This window comes from Homo sapiens, chromosome 3 (genome assembly GCF_000001405.40).
Source record: "Homo sapiens chromosome 3, GRCh38.p14 Primary Assembly".
Classification (NCBI taxonomy): Eukaryota; Metazoa; Chordata; class Mammalia; order Primates; family Hominidae; genus Homo; species Homo sapiens.
Genome location: NC_000003.12, coordinates 182,727,642 through 182,739,165, shown reverse-complemented (window position 1 = coordinate 182,739,165; position 11,524 = coordinate 182,727,642). Strand labels below are relative to the sequence as shown.

The window sequence follows — 11,524 nt, the reverse complement described above, 5'->3', positions numbered from 1 at the left end:
TGTGCTAATGGTGTGCTGTGATGGCCTTTCCTCCCTTTTTGATCCAGTCATTTGGCATGTAAACCTCTTTAACATTGTCCCTTCCTGGCACCTTCTGTGCTCTTGGGCACACCCGTCCTTGGGTCTATATAAGGAAATAAAAAGCACAGATGGTAGAAGGACTGGGCGGGCAGGTGAGTAAAGCAGGGCAGAACTCTCTTATTAAAACTTTCTTACTTAAAGACAGTTACTTCAAAGAAGTGTAAGCGTAAGGGAACTCGCCAAAAAGTCCAAGCTGGTACCTGTAGGAGCAAAAGAGTGTGGGAAAACAATTATTTCTTGCAAAATAAATTGCTGAAACCACCTCAGTATCATGAACTAGTGATGACATAATTGAGTTAGATCATCTGACTATGATAGATGAGATTACCCAGGGTCAAAGGGTTGTAATAAGTGCACAACTTGTGGGTCTCTGCTGGGATGGGTCAACACACTCAATGGGTGTTTGGACATGTGTGGGGTGTGTAGCATCTAGAACGGTGCCTTTCATGTATTAGGTGTTTGCCAAATATTTGTTAATGGAAGAATAAATTTGCTTTTTTTTCATAATAGTTCTGTGAGATAGGCAGAGAAAATATACTCAATCCTATTTCACAGAGATTCTGAACTTACCAAAGTCACATAAATGGTAAAGCTAGAGCAGAACCTAAGTGTTTTAAGTCCCCTACACCGAATATTCTGTTGTGTGTGTGTGTGTTTTTGAGATGGAGTTTCACTCTTGTTGCCCAGGCTGGAGTGCAATGGTGTGATCTCGGCTCACTGCAACCTCCGCCTCTTGGGTTCAAGCGATTCTCCTGCCTCAACCTCCCTAGTAGCTGGGATTACAGGTGCCCGCCACCACACCCAGCTAATTTTTTGTATTTTTAGTAGAGATGGGGTTTCACTGTGTTGGCCAGGCTGGTCTGGAACTCCTGACCTCAGATGATCCACCTGCCTCAGCCTCCCTAAATGCTGGGATTACAGGCGTGAGCCACTGTGCCTGGCTCTGCGTTCTGCTTAATAGTTCATAAGCAGTTTATCTTAGCCATCTTAGAGGACAGAAGAGGAAGGAAGTAGAGTGCTTGGAAAGGTTACAAGTCATACCCTATACACATTCTCATTCACAAAATTGTAGCCACAGATAGAAAAGAGGGAAGGTTTACAGTTACCATGGTTGATCTCTCCCATCTCCACATTGAATCTATGTGTAGCACAGCTGGAGGAGGCAGTTACTTCAAAGAAGTGTGATGGTCCATGGTGGGCTTTGGAGGGAGACAAACCTGGGGCCTACTCCTAATTATTTTTTGTTTTTTTGGAGATGGAGTTTTGCTCTTGTTGTTCAGGCTGGAGTGCAATGGCGTGATCTCGGCTACTGCAACCTCCGCCTCCCAAGTTCAAGCTACTTCAGCCTCCCAGGTTGCTGGGATTACAGGTGTGTGCCACCACGCCCGGCTAATTTTGTATTTTTAGTAGAGGCGGGCTTTCTCCATGTTGGTCAGGCTGGTCTCGAACTCCCGACCTCAGGTGATCCGCCCACCTTGGTCTCCCAAAGTGTCGGGATTACAGGTGTGAGCCTCTGCACCCAGCCTCCTAATTCTATTACTTACTTACTATGTGTGTCTTTAGATAAACTAGTTACCTTTTCTGAGACTCAATTCCCTTTCTTATAAAATGGGAATAACGCCACTGACATTTTCAAGTTCTTTGAGGGGTTAAATTAGAGACAGTGTCTAATGTTTGGTGTAGAATAAGTGCTGGATTAAGAGTGTAGGGTCGGAATGTTATGAGGACAGGACTGAATGCACCTAAGAGAAGTGAAATTTTCCAGCACTGCTTCCCTTCACCTACAGATATGACAGGAAAGTTAATTCCTAGCATTTAGAACTGACAGGCCTTCGATACTCATCCAGTCTAGCTGCTTCATTGATACTTTGAGGACACTCAAGACTAGAGAAGGTGGTGGTGTGTCTGGGTTCACTTGGTGAGTGGTGTAGGAATTGGAGGTGGAAATAGAACCTAAATGGACTGACTCCTGTTTGTGACTCTTTCTGCTCACGGTTGACATCACAAGGCACGGGAATCTAAGATTTTCACTTACTCTTTTCCTCGTTCGGTGTATACAGCAGAAGCCAGAAGCATCCCGTTGCGGGCAGATAGGATTATACAGATAGGGGCAGAGCCTACGGGCTCCTGGTGCCCTCCTCAAAGCCCACTTACTGGTTGTGTGACTTGGGCCAGTCACTTCCTCTCACTGAGTCTTACTTCCACCATATATAAAATAGGGATAATAATAGTACCTACCTCTTAAGGTTATCATAAGGATTAAATAAAATAACCCACATAAAGTTGCCTGCAGCATAGCAAACACTCAATAGGAGACTTATTTCTAAACATTTTTTTCTTTTTTTAAGACACAGTCTCGCTCTGTCACCCAGGCTGGAGTGCAGTGGTGCAATCTCTCGGCTCACTGCAACCTCTGCCTCCTGGGTTCAAGCAATTCTCCTGCCTCAGCCTCCTGAGTAGCTGGGATTACAGGTGCCCACCGCCATATCTGGCTAATTTTTGTATTTTTAGAAGAGACAGGGTTTCGCCATGCTGGCCTGGCTGGTCTCAAACTCCTGACCTCAGGTGATCTGTCTACCTTGGCCTCCCAAAGTGCTGGGATTACAGGCATGAGCCACTGTACCCGGCCTTATCTCTAAACTTTTATTAAAAGTGATTTTAAAATGTTTTTAGGGGAAGATATAATTTTGTTTATGTAATACAGTATAACATATAATATTCTATTAACCTTTGAAAAATATAAAATACGTAGCTCTACCGAAATATGTTGATTACCATTAAATATTGGTACCTAAGATAGAAATAAAACATCACAAATAGACTGGTTAATTAAGCCTTCTGCCATACATGTGGTGCTGCAAAAGGAAAAATAATGGAACTGTACTAGCACAGTTCGTACTACTATTTCTAATGGAAATACTAGTACTAAAAAGTGAGTTACAATACAAAATATATTAGAATAAATTTCTGCATAGTCTGTAAAAAGTAAACATATCAATTAAAATGGGCACAAAGCAGGCAGCAACATAAATTTGAATGTCTTTCTATAAAGGTAGTGACAGCACATGTAGCCAAATAAATAGTTCAGTAAAAGCTAGCATTAAGTACGGGAGTAAATTACTGCATTTGAAGGAATGCCAATATCATAGTCATGCAGGCAGTTATATCAAATATTTTGCAGAATGTTAGGATAAAGAAAGCAACAAGGAAATAGACTGAATTCCAACGGAAGCCAGCACTATAATTCATACCATATTCCCATAAAAATGAACAGACACATGAAAAAAAGCACCATAGAGGTTTCACTCTTTATTATCATAACCTAGGAAGAATTTTTCTTTAACACTAGCCAAACATCATGCCCATACCCTTTGTACTGCTGAATCTTCATTGCTGGCTGTCACTGCCCTAGAAATGGAGCTGACATTCCTTCAAAACAAGAAATCCACAATTTTAACAGACATATCACCACTATCTTTTCCTTTACAATAGAGTGCTTACTATCAACTCACTGCTATTTTTACTGTTTTCTCCAAGTCTTTGTAATTTTCTTGGTTGTTGCAAGATCTGAATACTACTTGGCAACCCTATTATGGTCCTTTCTCTCGAAGTCTTAAAATACTAAACTGATTTTAATGTTAGAGAGATGCTTGTATTGCCTTTGAACCATGAGTTATGCAAAAGAAAGAGAGATAACTATAAAGAGAAATAGAAATTATTACAGGGCTAATATAAACTCTACACGGATCAGCTTTGTGCCCTATGACACAATTAATTGTAAGATAACTCTTAAAGAGTGTTTTATGTTGCAGCATCCTGCCATTAGGAGGGTATCATAAGTACTATTGCCTGTCATTCACTACACTCCTTGCCTCCTGGTACTGAACTTTTTTATTGGTAGTATTTAATTTGACAGGGGATAATTTTGGGGTACCTCTTTCAGTGGGAAAAATACAAAGTATATGCTAACTTATATGATAGTTTAAATCATTTATGTATATATACACTTTAAACCCCAGGGAGATACTTTTTTTAATGGAGCCTATTAACCTGAGCATGACAATAACTAATTTCAGTGCTTTTAAAAACCTGGTCCATGGAACACTTGCATGAGAATTTCTTGGGGGTATTTGTTAAAAATCCAGATTCATAGTCTCCATCCCCTGTCCCCCTCCAAAATATACTGAACTAGAATCTCATTTTTGAGAAAGTCCCCATTGATCCTAGGCCCAGAAAGTTTGACAACAAGGGCATTTCAGCTTGGAGTTGTTCTTCCCTCTGCCGTGTCTCAGTGAGCATGTAAAAGCCGCCTGAAGAGAACAGTCCTCTTTGGTATTTGCCCAGATGGCCTATCCAGTTTTGGCTCTGCTGAAATCCCCAGGTTCTTTAAGCTCTTGGGTTTGAAATTTGACTTGTGATGTTTGCCATGGACCCTTCTCCTTGTTTGATCACCTTCCTGAACAGTCTTCTCTAGACAGTTACCTTTTTCCTGATCCGTTTTCTCATCCCCCAAACTGCACACACTCCACTGGCTGCTTTGCCCGATATACTCCCTTCATTTGGATACACCTCACCTGTGGCTCAGGAGAGGGAACTCCCTGTTAGTGGGGTCCTTCTTAGGCAGACTCTCTCCTCAGCTCAGACAAGCCATGGAAAGGGGTACTTAAAAAGATAAGACATGTAGCCTCCTCACTCAGGGAGTAGACCTGTAGGCATCCCAAAGAGGAACTTGTGACCAAAAAACATAAATTAGACTTCAGTGGGATGCAGAGTGGATGCTCTTTTGTGACCAAATAACTTTCTACAATATAGAAATGAAGAAGTTTCAAGCTCTTCTCCACTTCAAATTCAGGGCACGTTTTTCATGATGAAAGTTTACACAAAAATCTGAGTTTTTGTGGTATGTTCTTCAGTTCTGGCCCGTTTTTAAACAAATTAACTATGGTAATCAGATCATTTAGGAAGGAGCTAGGCAAATGTGCCCTACATTTAGGGACCAGAATGCCACTTGGGCATGAACGGATCTAGGAGGATTCTGATTGGCAATGTGGAAGATGCCATGAAGTCACCTGAGTTTTTTGGCTACTGAAATAGTAGTCTTCCATTATAGGTACTTATAACCATTGCTAGGTAGGGTTTTCTTAAATGTTGACGGATGAGTCTTGGTATATAGCAGCAGGTTTGCATCTCAACAGTAACTGAATATGACAGTGGTCTTCCGGGTTAATGACTGTTAATACAGCAATGAATGCAAGTTGACCCATTCAAACGTGGAAAGAAAAATATTAAAACTTCTAACTGCTAAAATATCATATTATGAATGTTCACTTTTGTTTTTTTCTATTTTTCAGGTAGCCTCTAAAAAATAAACACAGGTTTATTGAGGGTATGTGATCAACAGTTTTTTACTAAGATACACATTCAAAAAAATATTGGAGACCACTGGTCCATAAGGCAATCAGTTGGCATACAAAGCAGAATAGATTAGATTTTAGTTTGCTGAGCAATTTCTCAATTGTGTTCTATTTACTTGTAATTTAGCCATAGGGTTGGTGGCTAGGAGTACAAGCCTATAGGTAAGGAAGAATCGACTGCTGGTAATTCAAGAACTCCAAGCGAAACTGGAGTCATGGCTGTGGTTGGCTGCTTTCTCCCCTCCCCTTCCCTTAGGTGGAGGGATGCTGTGAAAACATGGTGGCTTAGGAGGCAGACACACTTCAGTATGACTCCAAACTCTGCCTCTTATTAACTTTATGATTTTGAGAAAATAACAACCTATAACTTAGCAGAACCTCAGCTCCCTCATGTGCATGACGTGTTTTTGTAAGAACAAAATGAAATGACATAAGTAAAGCCCCTAGGATAGTGCTTGGTGCATAGTAGGCACTGAACAAATGTGGCTCTCTCTGCTTCCCTCAATTCTCACTTGTAGACCCCCTCACACATACTGAGAGCATCCCTGAGTCTGTAAGATACGGCCAAGTGAAATATTTGAGAATGACATGGCTTGGGAACTACATGGCCATAAGCCTTGCTAAATTAAAAGCAAAAACATTGCAATTAATCATGAAAGGGAACCATGCTAGATGGTGCTGTCTAAATGGAAGCTCTTTATCTACACAGAGGGCCTCATATGCCCAGTCTTCACCCAAGGGAGAGGACAGTACAGTAAGTAGTCCCAATCTCTGGTGCAGGCCTTGGGTGGCCTCTGGGTGGATACTCTAGAGGAAAGAATCCCCCCGCACCCCCCTAGTGCCTTTCTCTGTTGGAGTTCTGCCACCTGCCTGGACATTCTGGCATTTGCAAATAGAGCCCCAGCTGGGCAGGCAAGGCAGGGGTGACAGAGCAAAAGCAGCAATGCCTCTGCAGAGCCATTTTTCCCAGGCTTCGTGAAGACTATGCTATGACGGGGTGACTTATGAAGCTTCTTTTTTGATTTGCCGTAGCCAGGATAGAAGTATTTTCCTGTGAAGCTGATTTTAACCCAGGATGAAGTAGGATAAGGGAGAGACAGGTTGGCAGGATCATTTTGTGTTCAATGTACTTGATGAGGTTTTTGAAATGTCACTGGATTTCCCCTTCTCCCCTAAAGCATACTTTGTAGATTTCCCCTTTCTCCCCTAAAGCATACTTTGCTGCTTTTGCTCTGTCCCCTGTGCCTTGCCTGCCCCACTGGGGCTCTACTTGCAAACACCAGAGCGTGCAGGCAGGTGGTGGAGCTCCAACAGAGAAGGGCACTGGGGGTGGGGGTGGGAGTCTTCCCTCTGGAGTACCCACCCAGATTAAAACCTGGATATCTTTGAGGTCATTATACAGCCTGTATCAAGTTGCAGCCTGTATAATGGCCCCAAAGATAGCTAGGTCCTAATCTCTGGAAACTTACAATGTTATTTTACATGGTCTCTCAGTCTGTTTGTGCTGCTGTAAAGGAATACCTGAGACTGAGTAATTGATAAAGAAAAGAGATGTACTTGGCTCATGATTCTGCAGGCTGTACAAGAAGCACAACACCGGCATCTGCTTCTGGTGAGGGTTTTAGGAAGTTTCCACTCATGGCAGAAGGGGAGGGGGAGCCGGTATATGCAGAGGTCACATGGTGAGAGCGAAACCAAGAGAGAAGGTGGGGAGGTGCCAGGCTGTCTTTAACAACCAGCTTTGGTGGGAACAAATGGAGCAAGAACTCACTCATTACCATGAGGAGGGCACAAAGCCATTCACAAGTCATCTGCCTTCAAGACCCAAACACCTCCCATTACCTCCCATGAGGCCCCACCTCCAACACTGGTGGTCACAGTTTTTTTTTGTTTGTTTTTTGTTTTTTGAGACGGGGTCTCACTCTGTCACCCAGGCTGGAGTGCAGTGGTGTGATTACTGCTCACTGCAGCCTCAGTCTCCTTAGGCTCAGGTCATCCTCCCACCTCAGCCTCCTTAGTAGCTGGGACTACAGGCGTAAGCCACCATACCAAGCTAATTTTTTTTTTTTTTGAGACGGAGTCTTGCTGCCACACCCAGGCTGTAGTGCAATGGCTCGATCTCGGCTGACTGCAACCTCTGCCTCCAGGGTTCAAGCGATTCTCCTGCCCCAGCCTCCCGAGTAGCTGGGACTACAGGCGTGTGCCACCATGCCTGGCTGACGTTTTTGTATTTTTTGTAGAGATGGGGTTTCACCATGTTGCCCAGGCTGGTCTTGAACTCCTGAGCTCAAGCAATCCTCCTGCCTTGGCCTCCCAAAGTATTGGGATTACAGGTGTGAGCCACTGCACCTGGTCGGTGGTCACAATTCAATATGAAATTTGGAAGGGTCAAATATCCAAACCATAGCATATAGCAAAAAAGATTTATTTACATACTCTTATTGGATCCCCACAATGACTCTATGGCATATATACTATTAAGCCATTTTATTTTATTTTATTTTTATTTTATTTTATTATGATTGTACTTTAAGTTTTAGGGTACATGTGCACAATGTGCAGGTTAGTTACATATGTATACATGCGCCATGCTGGTGTGCTGTACCCATTAACTCGTCATTTAGCATTAGGTATATCTCCTAATGCTATCCTTCCCCCTCCCCCCAACCCACGACAGTTCTCATGCTGCTATTAAGCCATTTTATAATGGGGAAATTGAGGTTCAGAGACATTAAGTAATGAATGGCTTAACACCATTCAGCTGTAAGTAGAGGGACACTGGGATTTGAGCCCAGCTCTGTCTCACTTTAGAGAGCCTGTCCTGTTAATGATTATGCACTTTTACTTACCATTATGTACATTTTACTATTGAGAAACAAGTCACAAAGAGGTTGGCATTTGCCTGATGACATAGCAAGAGGGGTTGCAGATAGAAGCTAATATTACTGATTATTTTCTAGGGTCCTTTACTAAGATATGAAGAGTGAGGAGAAGGTGGGTAACAGACGTTTACCTTCCCTTTTCTCAGACTGTTTACTTTCTCTTTTTTTTTTGAGACGGAGTCTTGCTTTGTCGCCAGAATGGAGCGCAGGGGCGCGATTCCGGCTCACTGCAACCTCCGCCTCCCAGGTTCAACGGATTCCCCTGCCTCAGCCGAGCAGCTGGAACTACAGGCATGCAGCATCACGCCCGGCTGATGTTTTGTATTTTAGTAGAGTCGGGGTTTCACCATGTTTGCCAGGATGGTCTCTATCTCCTGACCTTCTGACCTGCCCTCCTTGGCCTCCCAAAGTGCTAGGATTACAGACGTGAGCCACCGCGCCTGGCCCACTTTCAGAAAAAAGAGTCACACTGAGTCTTTTAGATGTGTCTGATTGGGTTGATGTAAAGCTGGTGGTTTCCTATCTTTCTTTTTCTGTCTCCAAGTTTCAGTTTTTGTGTTTGGGTCACAAACCAAAATCAAGTGTGACTCCTTTCTCTGAGTTGCTCCTTAGTTTGTGAGCAAAGAGATAGAAACTTTAGGGTACAAAGAAATTAAAGTGTTGACTGCCATTTTTGCATCCATTTAAACCATGCTAAACAGCAGTATGATACTTTGCTCTTTCTAGCCCTCTGCTTGTGAGACCTTTTCCTCTTCTTCATCCTTCCGAATGTCTGAGAAGTTTCACTTCTCAATTTTCGGGTTTGGGGTCGGGAGGGGATTTTACTTACAAGACTGGGCAGTAACTAAAATACTGCTTCTGAGAAGGGAGTTTGTTCCCCTTCCTAACCTCCCTTTGGGAAGGTGGGATTGATGATGTTGAGATTCAATACTAAGTCTACTCCCTCAATGCACAGGTCCCATAGTTTTTATTTATTTATTTATTTTGAGACAGAGTCTCCCTCTGCCGTCCAGGCTGGAGTGCAGTGGCGTGATCTTGGCTCACTGCAACCTCCGCCTCCCGGGTTCAAGCAATTCTCCTGCCTCAGCCTCCCGAGTAGCTGGGATTACAGGCATGAGCCACCACGCCCGGGTAATCTGTGTATTTTTAGTAAAGATGGGGTTTCACCATGTTGGCCAGGCTGGTCTTGAACTCTTGACCTCGGGTGATCCACCCACCTCAGCCTCCCAAAGTGCTGGGATTACAGGCATGAGTCACCGTGCCCGGCCTCACAGTTTTTAAATGAACAACATGAAAGCATTAACTTTGGACACAGGCAGCTCCTCTCCACCCCTAGTCCCCCCAACCAATGGACACTTTGAGTGACAGCCATACTGGGGGTGGGGATGGAGGGTCCACCAATGGTCCATGTATGGATTTCCAACTAATGTTCTGCTTTTTGACCTTCACAGCATCTCTCGCCTCCTGTGGCTCTCCACTGTAAGCTTCTTGACTGTTATACAGCGCAAGGTGGTTTGCTTTTACTTGGGATCCCCTCCTACAATGTGGTAGCTCTTTTCCTGAGAAATGAGCTAGACAATCTGCTTTTTGTTTTATGAAAATGTGTTATGTCTGCCGGGTGTGGTGGCTCACGCCTGTAATCCCAGCGCTTTGGAGGCCGAGGCAGGTGGATCATGAGGTCAGGAGTTCGAGACCAGCCTGACCAACATGGTGAAACCCCGTCTCTACTAAAAATACAAAAATTAGCTGGGTCTGGTGGTGTGTGCCTGTAATCCCAGGTACTCGGGAGGCTGAGGCAGGAGAATCGCTTGAAAGGCAGAGGCTGCAGTGAGCCAAGATCGCGCCATTGCACTCCAGCCTGGCGACAGAGCAAGACTCCATCTCAAAGAAAAAAAAAAGTGTTATGTCTACTGTTGTCTCTTCTCCTATTCTCTTTGTCCTTATGGATTTATACATTTTTCCTCACTTAGTGACATTTTAGAAAAGAAATAGATGTATGTGTTAAACTATTAGTTTAACCAGAAATCAGCCTTTTCATTTAGTGGTTCAATTTGTTTTTAATTATGTCTCTTCAAACAATGCATGACGGAATTTAAAAAAATCATTTTGTAAGGAAGACAGAACTTAACCACTATCCTCTTAAGGTTCCTAGGTGGGCCTGAGAATTAAATTGTCATAAAATAGATTAACAGAAGAAAAGCATACAATTTAATATGTTTTGTGTGACACTGGAGCCCTCATAAGGAAATGAAGATGCAAAGAAGTGGGAAAACCCAAATGCCTTTATATTAGGTTGAACAAAGATAGCCAGTTATGCAGATAACTAAATTATGTGGGAAGGTTAAAGGAAGATAAGAATTGTTTTAACAAGGTCTGTTTGTACAGATTTCTCTTGGCTATGACTCCACTATCGAACAAGGAGATACAAGGAGGGCATTTTTCTCAAGGGAGTTTTTCTTTCTCTCTCTTTTTTTTTTTTTTTTTTTTGAGACAAAGTCTCACTCTGCTGCCCAGGCTGGGGTGCGGTGGTGCGATCTCTGCCCACTGCAACCTCTGCCTCCCAGGTTCAAGTCATCCTCTTGCCTCAGCCTCCCAAGTAGCTGGGATTACAGGCACCCGCCACCACACCTGGCTAATTTTTGTATTTTTGGTAGAGATGGGGTTTCACCATGTTGGCCAGGCTGGTCTCGAACTCCTGACCTCAGGTGATCCACCCGCCACAGCCTCCCAAAGTGCTGGGATTACAGGAGTAAGCCACCATGCCAGGCCTGCACAAGGGAGTTTTTCAGGAAGAAAAGGGGAACATTAGAATACTCTTCTGAATCTGCTATTTTTTAAGTGCCTTTAGCTCAAAATAATTCTTATGTCAAAGCAGCATATTTTGGGGAAGCTAATCTGCCACCTTCACTTTCCGTGAGCCATCCACCCATCTATCCATTTATTTATTTATTTATTTATTTTTGAGACAGGGTCTTGCTCTGTTGCCCAGGCTGGAGTGCAGTGGCACGGTCACAGCTCACTGCAGCCTCAAACAACTGAGCACAAGTGATACTCCCACCTTGGCCTCTCAAAACACTGGGATTACAGGTAGGAGCCACCACACCTGGCCCCAAGATCTGGCTCTTTAGTTTTAGTCTTCTGAATATT

At 43.4% G+C, this 11,524-nt stretch overlaps 2 annotated features.

Annotated features, from left to right (window-relative positions):
• Positions 4,719 to 4,919: a silencer, noted in NCBI's record as "peak4955 fragment used in MPRA reporter construct". NCBI's record gives its function as "represses an SCP1 promoter by STARR-seq MPRAs in K562 erythroleukemia cells {active_cell/tissue: K562}" and the evidence as "EXISTENCE:reporter gene assay evidence [ECO:0000049][PMID:32103011]".
• Positions 9,039 to 9,128: an enhancer, noted in NCBI's record as "active region_20882". NCBI's record gives its function as "activates an Ori minimal core promoter by ATAC-STARR-seq in GM12878 lymphoblastoid cells {active_cell/tissue: GM12878}" and the evidence as "EXISTENCE:reporter gene assay evidence [ECO:0000049][PMID:35858748]".